General features: G+C 49.5%; 1 protein-coding gene across 1 annotated transcript in view, besides 1 other annotated feature; it reads right to left on the reverse strand.

Annotated features, from left to right (window-relative positions):
• The window catches only part of GAS7 (growth arrest specific 7), a 288,001-nt gene extending 269,123 nt beyond the window's left edge, over nt 1-18,878 (reverse strand). The window contains exon 1 of the mRNA NM_201433.2: nt 18,480-18,878. Within this exon, the coding sequence (NP_958839.1) occupies nt 18,480-18,662 (183 nt within the window). The 5' untranslated portion in view covers nt 18,663-18,878. The remainder of the gene's footprint in view (nt 1-18,479) is intronic.
• Nucleotides 828-1,370: an enhancer, noted in NCBI's record as "NANOG-H3K27ac hESC enhancer chr17:10083873-10084415 (GRCh37/hg19 assembly coordinates)". NCBI's record gives its function as "activates a minimal SCP1, AML or CMV promoter by ChIP-STARR-seq in naive H9 embryonic stem cells {active_cell/tissue: H9 hESC(naive)}" and the evidence as "EXISTENCE:reporter gene assay evidence [ECO:0000049][PMID:30033119]".

Here is an 18,878-nt window from a genome sequence, read left to right on the forward strand (position 1 = left end):
AGACAAACAGAACCAAGATTGAAACTGACTTAAGGTGACAGTGGCCAGGGGTCAGAAAGACAAGGTCCCCACCCAAAATGGTGACCAGGAGGTTGGGAAGGACGCTCCGAGACAGCAGGTTTCTTTTATTAATAAAGAAGGCAAATAGTAATGACCAGCATTCTGAGCAATGGATGCAAAATACGTAATATGGCAGTGACCATCAGCAAATACTGAGAACTGGTGTCAAGCTCTCAGTGGAGCATTTACGTTTAGGAAAACAATTGTAACTTTCACAACAATCCTCTGATGTGGGCCTTATTATTCCCACTTAAAGATACGGAAACTAATGGCTGGGCGTGGTGGCTCATGGCTGTTATCCCAGCACTCTGGGAGGCCAAGGCAGGTGGATCACCTGAGGTCAGGAGTTCGAGACCAGACTGGCCAACGTGAGGAAACCCCATCTCTATTAAAAATACAAAAATTAGCCAGGCATGGTAGTGGGTGCCTGTAATCCCAGCTACTTGGGAGGCTGAGACAGGAGAATCGCTTGAACCCGAGAGGCGGAGGTTGCAGTGAGCCAAGACCACTCCAGCCTGGAGGGACAGAGCAAAACTCTGCCTCAAAAAAAAAAAAAAAAAGCTATGGAAACTGAGGTAGAAGTTAAGGTAAATAATATGCCTAAAGTCTCATACAGCCAGCATGCAAACCCAGGTCTGATCAGCTCTAAACACCACGCTCATCACCATTGCACCAAACTGCCTGCCAAGATGCCCACAAATCGAGAACACCCCCATCCAAGGAGTCACCCAATAATCAAATCAATCCCAAGGGAGGCCGATTTCTTCAACGCCTGTTTTTCTCTCCAGCACGAAATAATAATGGTTTGCTGCCCTATATATACAATGACTTCATGGAATCTGAGTTATTTGCCCTGCAGCAGGGATGTTCTATTTGAGTCACACACACTCTGTTCCCCAATCAATCTTGTTACCTATCCTATGCATGTGTAAGATGCCTGCATGGGATTTTTATTGTTTTGTATTTATTTTATTGTAACTCCTTATTGTTACTTTTTTCCCCATGTGAAGCCAAGTAACTACCATGGGCAGCAAACTCAGAATCTGGTATTCATCGGCACCATGAATGTCAGCATGAGGGAACTATAACCCTTTGTTTTCTTATCAAGTCCCTAAGCCTGGTTGTACAAGGACGCTAAAGGCTTAAAAGATCAGAGACCCAATCCTTGAGCTCAAGGATTCCACAATGTAGTGGGTGGCAACAAAATTCCAACCCAGTAGGGTAAGTGTTAAGGGGTCTAGAATAAGGATGAGGGTGGCGGGGGGTGGGGGGTGGCAGTGCGGGGGTGGCGGTGGGGGCACGGTGGCTCACGCCTGTAATCCCAGCACTTTGGGAGGCCAAGGCGGGCACATCACGAGGTCAGGAGATCGAGACCATCCTGGCTAACACAGTGAAACCCTGTCTCTACTACAGTACAAAAAATTAGCTGGGCGTGGTGGTGCATGCCTGTAATCCCAGCTACTCGGGAGGCTGAGGCAGGGGAATCGCTTGAACCCAGGAGGTGGAGATTGCAGTGAGCTGAGATTGAGCCACTGCACTCCAGCCTGGGTGACAGAGCAAGACTCCACCTCAAAAAAAAAAAGAATAGAATAGAATGGGGATATATCTCAATAGAGCTGTCAAACAGAAAGAAAAGGGAGTAAGGGTAAAGAAGAGGATGGGGGAGGAGGGTTACTTCGAGGAACAGGAACAGCATGCACAGGGTACAGAAGCAAAAAAAAGCAAAGCTGTACCCAAGAATCAGGTAGTTCCATGTGGTTCTGATAACATCATGCACGTGAATAAATAGCTAAAATGCAGCTCAGGAGATAGACAGGGGTTGGGTCATGAAGGGCTTGTAAACAAGGCTAAGGCATGGTATATTGTAAAGGCAATGAAGAACCTATGAAAAATGTTAAACAGCAGAGTTCCGTGATCAAACTGGCTACAAAAATCACTGCACCATCACTCTGGAGGATATGAGATAGGAATTTGGCAGGACTTGTTTTACAAGATACAGGTCACAAAGACCCCGTTGATCAAACAGGATCCAGTAAAGGAGCCGGCCAAAACCCACCAAAACCAAGATGGCAGCCAGAGGCTACCGCTGGTCATCCTCACTGCTCATTATAGGGTAATTATAACACATTGGCATGCTAAATGACACTCCCACCAGCGCCAGGACAGTTTACAAATGCCATGGCAATGACTGGAAGTTACCCTATATGGTCTGAAAGGGGAAGGAACCCTCAGTTCCCAGAGCTCCCTACCCCTTTCCCAGAAATCTCATGAATAATCTCCCCCTTGTTTAGCATATAATCAAGAAATAACAGTAAGTATAGTCAGTCAAGCAGCCCATACTGCTACCTAAGCGGTAGCCATCCTTTTATTCCCTTACTTTTGGTGTGTGTGACGGAGTTTCACTTTTGTCACCCAGGCTGGAGTGCAATGGCACGATCTCGACTCACTGCAACCTCCACCTCCTGGGTTCAAGCGATTCTCCTGCCTCAGCCTCCCGAGTAGCTGGGATTACAGGCGCCCACCACCACGCTCGGCTAATTTTTGCATATTTAGTAGAGATGGGGTTTCACCATGTTGGCCAGGCTGATCTTGAACTCCTGACCTCAGGTGATCCACACACCTCGGCCTCCCAAACTGCTGGGATTACAGGCATGAGGCACCGCACCCGGCCTTATTCCCTTACTTTTTAATAAATTTGCTTTTACTTTGTCAGCTAACTCTTGAATTATTTCCTGTGTGAAGCCAAGAACCCATGTGGCCTCCCAGGCTCAGCCCCAATTTTGGGGTTCACCCTGTGACAGATGGACATCACTAGGGGGATAAAATGGACAGCCACTCCTGTTAGGGCACACGGCAGAAATCCAGACTAAGTCTCCGACAGCAAGGACCTGAGAGTTCCATCTAGGGGCTGCAGGAGACACCGGCTTTGTGGTACCGCCACCATCTGCAGTGTACAGCCCTACAACACGGGCCCAGGATTAGATTCTGAGCTCCACAGCAACACTTTAAAAAGAGATTTTCCATCCAGCCCCTTGAAACAAACCTTTCCTTTGCCCCAGCAACAGGCAAAAAGACAAAAACGAATGCTTGAGTCCTTCAGCAGTCTCCTGAGTTTCACCTCTCCCAATAAATAGCCTTTTCCTCATTACAAAAAGAGTTTTGTGTGGGAGTGCCCAGGCAGCCGGAGGCCCATCAAACCCAGGTAAGAAGCCATTAAGACTAATTAGCCCAGCCTGAGGAGCAGCAACCATTATGTAGCAGTTTCAAATAAACTAGCAATGGCCAGACGCTGCAGCTTCCCTTGCTTTCACTTGTAGGACCTACGCCCCGAAAACCCTCAGGAAAATGCTATACCATCTTGTATGCAACTCCCCAAGTGTTATCCCAATACCAGCAACATCCCATGGGAATATGCTGGAGATGCAGAATCTCAGGCCCCACCCCAGACCTACTGAATCCAAATCTGCATTTCATAAGACTCACAAGTGATTTGTGCCTCATCGATAATGCTGCACCAGACAGTCTTGCAGTACGACCTCAGAGAGGCCCTTGGAAAAGGGTCCCCCTACTTCCCCAACACCATCCGCCCTGTGTGCCCCAATGAAACTCCAGTTAACAGGCAGCTGTCAGCATCCAACTATGATCACCAGAGCATACAGGAAGGTAAACTGCACTTACAGAGTGTGTGTGTACAAAGTGCCAAAGCTCTTCTACCAGGCTCTCCTGATCCTCAGAGGAGCCCTGGGAGACTTAGAAAGATTCTGCAACTGGCTGGGCGCGGTGGCTCACGCCTGTAATCCCAGCACTTTGGGAGGCCGACACGGGCGGATCACGAGGTCAGGAGATCGAGACCATCCTGGCTAACACGGTGAAACCCCGTCTCTACTAAACAAAATACAAAAAATTAGCCGGGCGTGGTGGCGGGTGCCTGTAGTCCCAGCTACTTGGGAGGCTGAGGCAGGAGAATGGCGTGAACCCAGGAGGCGGAGCTTGCAGTGAGCTGAGATAGCGCCACTGCACTCCAGCCTGGGCGACAGAGCGAGACTCCGTCTCAGGAAAAAAAAAAAAAGATTCTGCAACTTGCCTGGGCTCTCACACAGGTAGCAGGGGCTGAGCTGGGATTTGTACGCAGACCTGCCACCCTCTTGCCAAGCACTCTGCTGCCCCCACCTCCCAGGGGTTTCTGGCCGACCCTTGAACGTTGTTGTCTAAGCTGTCCATACTGGGAGCAGCTGCAGGGCTCACATTCCAGTTCACAAACCAAACCACACAAAACAACCAGTTATCCCCTTGGAACTGATAAACTGTCTCAAGATGTAGAGACCATGTCCCCGTTGCATATGTTTTTCCTGACACTGTTGGCATCTGGCAAGACCATCCCTGGCTGCCTCTCCATCGTCCTGGTTCATACTGCAGTCCAGACCCTGCCCCCCAGCCTTTCCAGCGGCTGAATCCTGCACTTCCTCCTTAGCCAGGCTCCTGGCATTGGCCCCAGGAAAGCCTCCCTGAGGCCCACCTCCACCTCATGATCAAGGAAACTCCTCTGGTCAAACAGGAACACCAGCCACCATATCTCTGTCCTCGGATTAAATATACTCACAGAGGTCTAATTCCAAAACCTGTGTTCTTTCCATGACCCTGGGTAGCCTCATATAATCCACTTTTAAAGAGAAAGAATGAAAGTAAACTAAATCCAATCTAATTCCAGGATTTAACAAGTCTTGCAGACAAACTGAAAACCCCTAAGGGTATTCAAATGCCTTGCTACTCAAATTGTGGCCGGCAGACTGGAAGCAGTGGCATCACCTGGGAGCTGGCGGGAAATGCAGAATCCCAGTGTGGTGTAATATGAAATATATTTGGTCCTTGTCCCCAGGTCCTGCCACATAGCTCCTCAAACCCTTGGAATTTCCTGATAGGAATGTTGTTTGTTATTCATAATGAGCCCATTTGATCACACTTCAGTGGATGCTAATAAGGTGACTTAGGGTGGGGGCCCTCAGATAGCCCAGGTTGGAGCTGGTCACCAGGAACAAGTTATTAGAGGATTAGAGGGTTGGGATTTTTGAGCCCCACCTGCTGACCTCCAGGAAAAGGGGGGCCATGGGAGGCTGGAGACCAAGCTCTATAAAAACTCTTTTTTTTTTTTTTTTTGAGACGGAGTGTTGCTGTGTCTCACTCAGGCTGGAGTGCAGTGGTGTGATCTAGGCTCACTGCAACCTCCACCTCCCAGGTTCAAGCAACTCTCCTGTCTCAGCCTCCTGAGTAGCTGAGACTACGGCGCGTGCCACCACACCAGGCTCATTTGTGTATTTTTAGTAGAGACGGGGTTTTGTATGTTGGCCAGGCTGTTCTTGAACTCCTGACCTCAGGTGATCTACCTTCCTCGGCCTCCCAAAGTGCTGAGATTACAGGCATGAGCCACCCTGCCCAGCCTATAAAAACTCTTGAACAAGATTTGATAAGCTTCTGGGTTGCTGAACACATGGAGGTGCTAGGAGAGTCCAGAGAGGGCATGGAAGCTGCACACCCCTACCCCCATATGCCCTGGCATTGAACAGGCAGCCCCCAGCATTCAACTATGATCACTAGAGCATGCAGAAATATGAATTCCACTTATGGAGTGTGTACAAGGTGCCAAGCTCTTCTCCCAGCTTCTCCTGGCCCTCAGAGCAATCCTGGGAAACTTAGAAAAATTCTTCAACTTGCAGAATGCACCCCTTCCTCTGGCTGTTCATCTGTATCCTTTATAGTAAACCAGTAAACGTGTTTCCCCAAGTTCTGTGAGCCATCCTAGGAAATTAATCAAACCCAAGCAGGGAGCAGTGGGAAACCCAATTTACAGCCGGTCAATCAGAAATATAAGTGACACTACTTGACATATGAAGTGGGGCACTCTTGTGGGACTGCGCTCTCAGCCTGTAGGATCTGACTCCAACACCAGGTAGACAATGTCACAACCCAATAGAAATATAAGAGGTTCAGCTGGTGTCCACTGAAGAACCCGCCTGGTGTGTGGGAAAACACTCGCCACCCCCAATCAAGTCACAGAAGTGTCTGGTGCTGTGTGAGTGTGGAGAAACAGGATGGAGTGTGAGCAGAGAGTTTGGTTTTTTCTTTCAGATTCAGGTTTCCACTTCAGACTACTAAATCAGTCTGCATTTTTTTTTTTTTTTTTTTTTTTGGAGACGGAGTCTCGCTCTGACACCCAGGCTGGAGTGCAGTGGCGCATTCTCGGCTCACTGCAAGCTCCGCCTCCTGGTTCACGCCATTCTCCTGCCTCAGCCTCCAGAGTAGCTGGGACCACAGGTGCCCACCATGCCCAGCTAATTTTTTGTATTTTTTTTTTTAATAGAGACGGGGTTTCACTGCGTTAGCCAGGATGGTCTCGATCTCCTGATCTTGTGATCCGCCTGCCTCGGCCTCCCAAAGTGCTGGCATTCCAGGTGTGAGCTACCGCGCGTGGCCAGAGTCTGCATTTTAACAAGAGCCTCGAGTGATATGCACACCCATTCATGTTGGAGAAGCACAGATCTCACACCATGTATAGTGATATTGTACAGCTAGGCTCTGATGTCCCTACACCAGAAGCCAGGCCCCACGTATTCAAAGGCTTTTTTTTTTTTTTTTGAGACCTAGTCTCACTCTGTTGCCTAGGCTGGAGTGCAGTGGTGCGATCTCGGTGGCTCACTGTAACCTCCACCTCCTGGGTTCAACGAATTCTCCTCCCTCAGCCTCCTGAGTAGCTGGGATTATAGGCATGTGCCACCAAGCCAGGCCAATTTTTTTGTATTTTTAGTAGGGACTGGGTTTCACCACATTGGCCAGGCTGGTCTCGAACTACTGACCTCAGATAATCCACCCACCTCAGCCTCCCAAAGTGCTGGGATTACAGGCGTGAGCCACCGTGCCCGGCCCAAAGCCTTCTTTATAATATGAAAATATTAGACTGGGTTGGGTACAGTGGCTCATGCCTATACTCCCAACACTTTGAGAGGCAGAGGCAGGAGGATCACTTGAACCCGGGAGGCAGAGGTTGCAGTGAGCCAGGACAGTGCCACTGCACTCCAGCCCGAGCGACAGAACAAGATTCTGTCTCCAAAAAAAAACAGAAACCACTTTGCTGTAGCAGCACTGAATTCAGTCTGAGAAGCACTGCTCTAGGTGCGATGATAAAATGCTGAAACTGAAACAGACAGGAACTGGGGTGTCCCCATGAGTGGTTACCCATGTGGTGGTCAACAGGGCCATCTACATAGATACAGCTTGCTCCTTTTCTCCTTCCAAACACACGGCAGGATTGTATTTTTTCACTGTCTTAAAGTTAGGTGTGGCTGTGCTTTAGACAATAAAATACCAGCAGAAGTGTCATGTGTCATTCCTGGGCAAAAGCTTTAAGAACCATGTGCTGTTTGACACAGTCCCTGAGCATTCCACACACTGGGCGTTCCATCATCCTGGGTCCTGGAGGTCTTGCGGCTTTGGACCAACTCACAATAGACTTACAACATGAGCAAAAAGCAAATCCATGTTGCTTTACCACTGAGATTGCTGTGGTGGCATAAAGTAACCCATCCTGACCCATATAGCACACACCCCCACAATGCTACCTTTTTCAGAATATTTCTGTTACTCCTCATTCACTGCTCAAATTCATCATTACTTTAAGGTAGGACCTCTTTTTTAGCCCTGAACGGCATTACTTAACTCAGTTACTCGCTTTGCTCATCAAACTTCACTCCGGAATCATCTGAGTTTTTCTTTTCCACAGATTTCCTCATGTGTTTATGCTTTTATCTTTTTGTACCGTATGCTTTTTGGTAAGCTGCCTTAAATCCTATTTGCCACAAGGTGACAGACAGACAGTCACATGAACAGACACACCAGACTTGGCTTTGAATGAATTTTGGCTGTTTCCAAAAAAAATCAAATCCACCCCTCAAAAGACAAAGATTTGCTGTTACTGAGGATATTTATAAGAATGCAGTCCCGGGCCAGCATGTATTCCTTCTACCTATTCTTCCCACAAAAGGATACTTACAGAATGTTTGGTACACACAGTTCCCACTTTTGAAAAGTAATTCTTTTCTGGACACACCATCTCTTTTTGCCTCACTGTGAGGAGAAATGTGAACTATGCTAGCTCCACAAAGACATTTAGCATCATTAACCAATATTTTTATTTTTTAAATTCAGTTTCATCCCAGCACTTTGGGAGGCCGAGGCAGGTGGATCATTTGAGGTCAGGAGTTCGAGACCTGCCTGGCCAACATGGTGAAACCCATCTCCACTAAAAATGGAAAAATTAGCCAGGCATGGTGGTGGGCACCTGTAATCCCAGCTACTCGGGAGGCGGAGGCAGGGGAATTACTTGCACCCAGGAGACAGAGGCTGCAGTGAGCCGAGATCGCGCCACTGCACTCCAGCCTGGGTGACAGAGCAAGACTCCACCTCAAGAAAAAAAAAAAATCCATTTCAATATAGTTACTGAACCCCTTCCGCATGTTCTGACCTGCTAAGCGCAGGTAAACCTGATTTTAACTAGTTCCTTCTGGTGTACATTGAGGTTGTTGTTCATCTTGTGCTATCAGAGGCTGTGATGTAATATACGCTGATATTTACAGCTTGCCTGATATATCAGATGCTCCCTGAGAAGAAATTTCTAGAAGTGGAATTGTACAGTGCCAAATGGTCCTTCAGGAAGCTCAGGACCATTTCCTTACACCCTGCCAATACCATTTTTTTTTTACATATTTCTGTCTTCAAGCTGTTTTTTAATTAAATTTGCAATTATTCAATCACTGGCGAGACTAAATAGTTGAGGACTTTTTATATGGTTTTGTGTGTGTGTGTGTTCATTTGTTTTAAGAGACAGAGTCTCACGCTTTCACTCAGGCTAGAGTGCAGTGGTGCAGTCTTGGCTCACTGCAGCTTTGACCTCCCGGGTTCAAGCGATCCTCCCACCTGAGCCTCCTGAGTAGCTGGGGCTACAGGCATGAACCATCACACCCAGCTAATTTTTTTGTATTTATAGAGAAAAAATTTGGGTTTCCCCATGTTGCCCAGGCTGGTCTTGAACTCCTGGGCTCAAACAATCTGCCCACCTTAACCTCCCAAAGTGCTGGGATTATAGGCATGAGCCACCATGCCCAGCCTGTATATGTTTTATTATGAAGTGTCTATCCAAGTTCCTTGCCCATTCTTATACTGATATGTTCCTCTTTGTTTTGGGTTTTGTTGTTTTAATTTATAAAAGCACTTTCTACATTAAGGAACTTTTTCCAAATTTGTATTTGCCTTTTACCTCCTTTTTTTTGGGAAGAGATTTCTAGTGGCAGAATAAAGGATGGACAGATGGGGAAAATACAAAAGGGAAAAAGTGCATTACAAGTGACCTGCAAGAAGTGAGACCCCCTGAGGTTCCCTTACTCCCTCCGATCAACACACCAGCAAGACCTGTTGACACTAGCTGCAACATACATTCCAAATCCACACACCTCTCACCATCTCCACTTCCACCACCCTGCTCTGAGCTTCCCAACTGGTCTCCTTGCCTCCCCTCCCTGTTTTCTTCAAATCCATTCTCCACCCTGCAGTCTAGAAGAGCTTTCCAGAACGCATCCGAAGATGCCACCCACTTCAATCAAACCAAAGGCTTTTCCACTGCATTTAGAAAATGACCCATCTCCCCAGGTTCTATCTCCTTCCCCGGCACACCCCCAACCCCTCTCCCCCTACTTGCCACTCTAACCATTCTGGAATATTCTGGCTCTCCCAGGTTTATCAAACACACTCCTCTACTCAGGGTTATGTACATCTGCAGTCCCCCTCAGCCTCAAATTATTTTCCCCCAAATAGTCACATGGCTGGCTGGGCACAGTGGCTCAAGCCTGTAATCCCAGCACTTTGGGAGGCCAAGGAGGGTGGATCACTTGAGGCCAGGAGTTGGAGACCAGCCTGGCCAACATGGCAAAACCCTATCTCTACTAAAAATACAAAAATTAGCCGGCTGTGGTGGCGGGTGCCTATAGTCCCAACTACTTGGGAAGCTGAGGCATGAAAATCATTTGAACCCAGGAGGTAGAGGCTGCAGTGAGCCGAGATCACACCACTGCACTTCAGCCTGGGCAACAGAGCAAGATTCCATCTCCCAAAAAAAAAAAAAAGTTGAAAACAAATCAAAAGAAGAATAATACTTCACGGCCCATGAAAATTATAACAAATTCAAATTTCAGTCCATAAATAAAGTTTTATTGGAACACAGGCACGCCCATTGGCTTTCGGATTATCTCTGGCTGCTTTTGCACTACAGCAGCAGAGTGGATTAGTTGTGACAGAGACCATATGGGATGCTCTCACTGCTTGTCACTGCCTCTGGCGCACTACAGATCACACCGATGCAGCCGTAACTCAGTTTTGCCTCATGGCCCACACAGCCTAAAATGTTTCCTGGCCTTTTACAGAAAGATTTGCCAACGCAAGTTAAGAAGGAGAAGGCTTTAAGAAATGTTTCTGGCCGGGCGCAGTGGCTCATGCCTGTAACCCTAGCACTTTGGGAGGCCAAGGCGGGCGGATCATGAGGTCAGGAGTTTGAGTCCAGCCTGACCAGCGTGGTGAAACCCCATCTCTATTAAAAATACAAAAATTAGCCGGGCGTGGTGGTGCGTGCCTGTAATAGCTACTCAGGAGGCTGAGGCAGGAGAATCGCTTGAACCCAGGAGGTGGAGGTTGCAGTGAGCCAAGATCGTGCCTTTACACTCCAGCCTGAGCGACAGAGCAAGACTCCGTCTCAAAAAAAAAAAAAAGAAAAAAAGAAATGCTTCTAAGGAAGAAGGGAAGGGACGAGGCTTGCTAGCCTACTGAACAGGAGAGGAAAGGTAAGGGGAGAGATATCAGGGAACTTGGTGGACAGATGGTGGTGACATTCACTAAAGTTTAGAGCAGGGGTGTCCAATCTTTTGGCTTCCCTGGGCCACACTGAAAGAAGAAAAATTATATTGGGCCTCACATAAAATACACTAACGCTACTATAGCTGATGAGCTAAAAAATATATATCTCACAAAAAAAAAAAACCCTCATGTTTTAAGAAAGTTTACAAACCTAAGAACAGGCACGGTGGTTCACGCCTGTAATCCCAGCACTTTGGGAGGCCAAGGCAGGTGGATCACCTGAGGTGGGAAGTTCAAGACCAGACTGACCAACATGGAGAAATCCCATCTCTACTAAAAATACAAAACTAGCCGGGTGTGGTGGCGCATGCCCGTAATCCCAGCTACCCAGGAGGCTGAGGTAGGAGGATCGCTAGAACCCAGGAGGCAGAGGTTACAGTGAGCCGAGATCACGCCATTGTACTCCAGCCTGGGCAACGAGAGCGGAACTCCGTCTCAAAAAAAAAAAAAGAAAGTTTCCAAATTTGTGTTGGGCCCCATTCAAAGGCCATCCTGGGCCACATGTTCCACAAGCTTGGTTTAGAGGTTGGGAACAGAAGGCAGTGAAGAGGCTGGGCACGGTGGCTCATGCCTGTAATCTCAGCACTTTGGGAGGCCAAGGTGGGAGGATCACTTGAGCCCAAGAGTTTGAGACCAGTCTGAGAAACATGGTGAAACCCTGTCTCTACAAAAAATACAAAAATTAGCCAGGCATGGTGGCAGGTGCCTATAGTCCAAGCTACTTGGAGGATCGTTTGAGCCCAGGAGGTCAAGGCAGCAGTGAGCCATGATCATGCCACTATACTCCAGCCTGGGCAACAGAGCAAGACCCTGTGTCAAAAAAAAAAAAAAAAAAGGCAGTAAGGAGAGGAGAGAGGGCTGGGCACGGTGGCTCACGCCTGTAATCCCAGCACTTTGGGAGGCTGAGGCGGGTGAATCACAAAGTCAGGAGTTCGAGACCAGCCTGGCCAACCTGGTGAAACCCCACCTCTACTAAAAATACAAAAATTAGCCAGGCATGGTGGTGGAAGCCTGTAATCACAGCTACTCAGGAGGCTGAGGCAGGAGAATCACTTGAACCCAGGAGGCGGAGGTTGTAGTGAGCCGAGATCACGCCACTGCACTCCAGCCTGGGCAACAAAGCAAGACTCCATCTCAAAAAAAAAAAAAAAAAAGAGGAGAGAGATGATGAGTTTAGTTTTGACATATGAAATTTGAGTACCTAGAGGTTGAATCTGAAAACCAGCTCCAAGCTCAAGAAGAGTAGTAGACGGAGAACTAGGAAGTTAAACTAAAAACAAATTCTTAAAGATGGTAGGGAAGACAGAAAACGTGAAGAAAGGAGGTGGGTGGATCCTCTTAAGACTCCTCAAAAACTTCTCACAGTTCATATACCTACTGCAACTAAACTTTCACAACGTCACAACATGTTCTGGTCAGCCAAGGAAAAGCCAGAGAGATCTGCCAGCCGCCACTTCTTCTTCTCGCCATAGGCATAAATACCACCCCAGAAGCCTCGCCATTGCAGGGAGACAGAGAAATATACTAATTTTGCATTTAAGTACAGAGGAATCCCTCCTGACATTTTGTTAGAAAGCCTGTCATGTGTCGCCTTGCTGCTGTGAGTAATAAGACAGCACAGTCCCCTGGGCTGGCCTGATAATAGTCAAAATACCTTACATGTACACAAGGTTTCCTGGTTTACCAAAAAACATTTTCTTTCACCAGCGAAGTGAGGATCAGTATCCGTGTTCACAGACAAGGTCTACCACACCATCAGAAAAAAGCTGGGCTTTTCCAGACTGAGAAGAGTACGTGAAGGTCAGCCTCTCATTCATGTTTCTAGGTGGTAACAGACATCAGGGATCCACAGAGCGGTGAACAGATGTCAGGGATTCCCGCCGACTTGTTGCTAAGGGAACTTTTGTGAAAATGCCCTGAATCCACTCAATCCATAAGCCTTGCTCATTGCTTTAAAGTCCTGTGGGGTAGCCACTGACCAGTCCAGCACACAAGTGTGACAAAAGAGGTGGTTCCTTCTGAGCTGAGGCTGACAGAGTGGTGGGCCAAAGGTCATTTTCTAACACCAGGAGCTACAAATACTGGCCACAGCCCCCATACCAAGGAGGAGGGTGATTTAGTGAAGATGTCAGAAAGCACGCTGGTCTTTTCAGTCACAATTACCCACCCCTCCGAGCCACAAGCCCTAATTGCACCTTTTGTGAACAGAGTTGATGACTGACTGAAAAATACTAGCATGAGGGACAAGGTCACACTCATTTTGGGTGATTTTCATGTTGCAGAAAGAAAGGAAAAGGCTCTGTATTAAAATCAATTTGTGTAATATAGCAAACATCTATTAGATGTCAGGGAGCTCAGATCCACTATGTCTATGAATCATCAGCACTGAACAGCCCTGGCCTAAAAAAAGCTGGACTGGTATGTCAATGGCTTAGTGGACAGGCCCAGAGCCAGGCAAATCTGATTTCAAATTCCAGCTGCATCGTTTATCATGTGGCCTTTAGAAAGAAACCTCTAGAGTCAAAAAAAAAAAAAAAAAACCCTCCAAGGATTGCGATAGAGGTAGAACTGCCAAGTCTCTGCATTTTACCTCCCTCTTGGGGTTCTCTCTCTCATCAGTCTGGCCCAGCACTACCTCCTCACTAATGGATCATCTGTCCCATGTATGTTCTCCCTAGCCTTCTGAGGGAGCTAGTCTGCAATATGGCCCTCGATGAACCACGCCTCCCTCATAACCGCACCTGTACCCACCTCCCTTCCAAATTGACTCTGGACAGACCTGTGACTACTTTCCCAATAGAATGTGGCAGAAACGATATGCCAGTTCTGGGCCCAGACCTTAAGAGGGCCTGGCAATGTATGCCTTTGCATTCTTAGAAGCCAGCTACCACATAACTCCTGAAGAGAAAGGCCATGTGGAAAGGCCCTGGAGAATGAAACACTACATGGAGAAAGGCGCCACATGGAAGAACATCAAAGCACCAGACAGGTGAGTGAAGATGACATTTTGGAGGCTGCAGTCTAGTTGAGCCTCCAAGACTCTGCCCCAGCCACCATCTGATTGCAACTGCATGAGAGACACTGAGACAGACCAGCAGAAGAACCACCCAGCTGAGCCCCGTCAATCCACAAAACCATGCCAGATAATAAGAAATTGTTGCTTTGAAACACTAAATCTTGGAGTGGCTTGTTACATGGCAATAGATAAAACATCATTCCTTAATTATCCATAGCACAGCCCACTCTCTCCCACAGACACTCCTTATCAACTCCTGCAGCACAACTGCATGAACCCAAAATGGGAGAACAAAGGGTAGAGTGAAGAAAATCAAGTTTAACGGTGACCCTCAGCAGCCATTCTAGTTGTGCCAGCAAACAGTGTCATATTCTGTTAGTAACCCAGAAAGAAAGGAAAAGGCTCTTTTTAGGAAAGAGAAAAGGTCCAGATTATCCAGCCAGATCCTGGATTCTAAGAATACCACCTAGTTCAAAGAAAGCTCTATTTTGTTTGCATTCCAATCCCATTGTCCCCCAGAATTATTTCCCAAAAGCTCTGGGAAGTTTTGTAGATGCCTTACAACATTCCCCAGGTCCCTAATTTCTTCTCTCCATTCAAGGAAAGTACAGGCCACAGGAATTCCTGGACCCTATTAAACCCTCCAACCACTGACCTGTCCAGCCACTGGGCTTGTCCTGGTACCATGTCTTTCTCTCCAAATTTTCCCCAGGATGGAGATCTAGGATTCTCTATCCACCTTCCCCAGGAGCTATTTCTCAGCCTTGATGTACCCTAGAAAGCTGGTGGAAATATTCCCACATGTGGGGTTCCCAGGTCTATGGAGGCAATCTCAGGCCTAGCTTGGAGCTGGCAGAACATGCTCCCACAGCTCCTATCTCTGGTCTCAGGTCTCTTCCTCTACCATATCTCTCAAATGATGTTAAAAAGACTTCTCGGCCGGGCACAGTGGCTCACGCCTGTAATCCCAGCACTTTGGGAGGCCGAGGCGGGTGGATCACAAGGTGAGGAGATCGAGACCATGCTGGCTAACACGGCGAAACCTCACCTCTACTCAAAATACAACTGCACTCCAGCCTGAGCAACAGTGCGAGACTCTGTCTCAAAAAAAAAAAAAAAAAAAAAAAAAGACTTCTTAATTCCTGTCCCTCGTCATAGCAGAAGAAACCCTCAGGAAAGATTTTTCTAGTTGATTTTATCTAATAACCAGCTGTGGGCCTTGGCTGTAAGGCCTATTCCTTTTCTGGAGGTAGGTGTTTCCCTCTGCCCATCCTTTGAAGAGCTGCACCACCCCGAGTAGGAAGAACCCTTGTGGCCAGAGTCCTTGGGCCTACCAGAGACCTCTACACTTCCCTGCCTGTGCTGAGGTTTTCCTGGAAGCTGCTCTCTGGAAGCCAAGTATGTGCTATACCATTTCCTTGGAGTCTTGACCAAAGAGATTGCCCCAAAAACCAAGACCTCCTCCAAGCTGGCCTCCTCCCAAGGGCTAGCTGGCCACTGGGTCAGATCTGGTGACTCTCTTGGAGTTAGCTCCCAACTCCCCTCCCCCGTGTATGCTTCCTGCAAAGGCTGGGTCTCTCGGTTCCCCTTGCTTCATCTGAACAAGGAAGATCTCCTTGGGAAGTATCCAGTGTGCACACAGTATTCAGTGCCTCCCTCCCCTCCACCAAGATGGGGTTTCCTAGTATCACTCTTTCTATCAGGGTGAAAGTTCCGCTGGAGTAGGGAGCACATTAGAGATGCCATATTCATCTGTGTACCCACAATCCCATCCCTAGGCCAGGAGGCTAGTACAGTCCATCTGTCTGTACTTGTTTCTCCAACAGCTGCCCTGGCCTTCTGAACTCCATGCTCCCAAGCAAGCTGAGTGACAGCACCACATTGGCTGACATCTCATGAGGTTCGCCATCTCCAGTATCTATGGGCCCCCTCTCTAGTCTCATGAGTCCAGATGCTGGCCAGTCTACCCACCAGCCTGGGGACCTCTGCATTCTCTGAGTCTGCCCTTCAGGACTCACCCCATCCCAAGCAACTCTGCTTGCATGTCCTCTATCTCTACCTAGCCTTCAGCCTTGAGGTCCAACTTGCTCATGTAGGAGGTTCCCAGATGCCAAGCACCTGACCCACATGCCCCCCTGTTGAAACTGCATCTGCTTTGGCCCTGAGAAGAGTCCCACCCAGTACTTAGGATACAGGACTCGGGCCCACTGTGGGAAGACCCCCAGCTGGTTCTGAGTAAAGTCACACTTTGGGGTTAGCAGGGAAGATCCTCCAAGTTGCTCCTGGATGCAGCTGTCCTCGTTTTAGCCCTAGAGGTTCAGCCTCCCCTTCGCGGTGCTGTCACCAACATGCTGACCTCAGGGGCTGCGCATGCCCCTTTTCCCCATGGATCCAGACCCTTCGCTCACACGCTGTTTGGCATAGTTGAGCCCGGGCTATCATGTTTAAAAAAGGCACAGGCGCAGGGGGTGATACTCAGTCATCTGAGCTGCTAACAAAACACGCAAGCATTACTAGTTGGGGAGCTGACTTCGCCTCTCTCATATTCAGCTTGCTTGTCTATAAAATGGGGGAAGTACCTCACCCTTCACAGAGCTGTCAGGGAACTGGTGATAACGTGCACACACTGTGCCAAGCAGGTGCTCAGAAGTATTGCTCACGCAGATGGATGCTTCTGTTGCAAGTTACTAGTCAGGAATGGTCTGAGAGGCCCTGAGACACCAGAGATCTCTTACCTTTGTATATGCCAGAGGATGGGACAGACACACCCAAAACTGTCCCAGTTGTTAATTCCGCTTGTCCCCTGGCCCTGGTCCATCGTCCCTTTCCCGGAAGAAAAAGCAGCACTCCACTCTTGCTAACTAACACCTACCCAGCCTCACCCCTACACAAAACACAGCTGGCTCAGTCCAGCCAGGGATGCTCCTCACCGGACAGACATCCATCAGCCAAATTTCCACATCAGAATTTCCTGGAAAAGGGTGACCACCCGAAGAACTCCCAAAATACGTATCTATCCCAGGGCTTCAAGCTAGAAACAAGGAGGCCCCTTGCTTCTCATGTAAGAAGCAATACGTTCGCTTTCTTTTACATCCGAATCTCGGGAAAGGAACTGGAAAAGCCAGGGCAGGGCACACCTGAGCCTCTCCTACAAGTAGGGTATCTCCGGATTCTCCAGATACAGAACCAAGAGGGTTCCTGCAACATACTCTGCTGACAGCCCATGAAAGCTCATTCCAGCAGCCCCTAAACTTTGCTCAAATGCTACTGATGCCTTTAGGAGAGATTTTGTTGTTCTCTGGACCTGAAAGCAATCTAATGTACTTTTATAAGGCCAGGCTCTTGCTGACAATGTTGCCACAGGATACATCCTCAGGCGGACTCACCCTGTAACCATTTCACTTCTTTCTTTCTTCCCCCCGCCCCCGATGAATTGCACTGAGCATTCTCAGTCAAAATTTGCTACTTTCTCTGTGAAGTAGGTCAAGAGTTAAATAATAAATAAATTCAGCCTCCATGATTTCTTCCGGCAGTGTTTTACCAGAATGTTTAGGAATACTGACACCATTGAAGGTAACTGTTAATTTAGTCTTTACAAGAATCCTGGGGGCAGGCGGGCTTCTAGTAAAGGGGATGTCCTGGAAGGTCACCCCCCCACACACAAAGGACTTTAGAAACTTCGGGTCTCACTCAGGCTGTGACTGCGAGCTCAGTGATTAGAGGACAGCCTGTCACATAGACAATAAACAGCCAGCCGCCTTGCCTCAGCAGGTCCTGTGCAGCCCTGGGGCCAGGCCAGAACCCCAGGAACAAGCCACTTTCGGGTTCTGAGCCTTAGCCTCGGGGAGCTGGACCAGGGGAGCAGGCAGTGGCGGGGGGTGCTACGGCACCCCAGGATCAAGCCTGCTGAGGGGGCTCGGGCTGGTGGCCAGCAGGCTCGGCTGACCAGCAAGTGGGTGGTCCCGAGGCGGCCAGGCAGCCTGACCCAAGGCAGCACGACCGTCCACGGGTCATCAGGCTCTAGACTCCGGGGTGGAGACGCGGGGCTGCGGGACCGAGTCGGTGCCACTTTCTCGCACCCCTGATCCTCCGTGCCTCTTCCCAAGACCGCCAGACCCTTCACCGGCCCCTGCCACTGCCGGGAACGCTCCCGCCTGCTCCTTAACTCACACAGGCAACAAGTTCTCGCTTCCTCAGAGCAGCCACGGTGTGCTCCGGAGGCCCGGCGCAAGGTGGAAGCTCCCCGCGAGTCCGCGTTGCCCACGCCCCGAGGGGCGCCCGCTGCCGTCGCTGCCCCCCAGGAGCGTGGAGCTACAGGTAGCGCCGGCAAGGGCTGCCCCCCGGGGCGCCCCTCCGACCGGGACGCTGCGGCATCCCCGGAACGGGCAACAGGTACGCGAGCGCACCGAGGACCGCAGCCCCGGCTCCTACAGCCCCGGCCCTCGCCCCTTACCTCCAGCAACTGCACGTAGCTCGCCGGGAACCAGCCACGGAGCCCGTCCTCCTTCTCGCCTTCCCACCAGCCGCCGTCCGGGACCTGCAGCAGCGTGATCAGCTCGCCCGCGGCGAAGCGCAGCCCCTGGCCGTGCCGCTCCCCGGAGAAGGGGTACAGGGTCCGGCAGCGAGCGCCGGACATGGCCTTGGCGCCCGGGTTCACAGCGCAGCCTGCATTCCCGCCGAGCCCCACGGGCTGGGCAGCGGCTCCGCGGGGTCCCAGGCGCCCGGCGCTCCGGGCTCCCGCGCTCTGGGCGCGCGCCGTCTCTGGGGTGCGCGGGGGTCCTCAGGCAGGCGGGGGACGCGCGCTCCGCGCCGGGAAGCAGAGACTCGTTGGCTTCGCAGAGCGAGCGGCGAC

This window comes from Homo sapiens, chromosome 17, assembly GCF_000001405.40.
Source record: "Homo sapiens chromosome 17, GRCh38.p14 Primary Assembly".
NCBI classification, from domain to species: domain Eukaryota; kingdom Metazoa; phylum Chordata; class Mammalia; order Primates; family Hominidae; genus Homo; species Homo sapiens.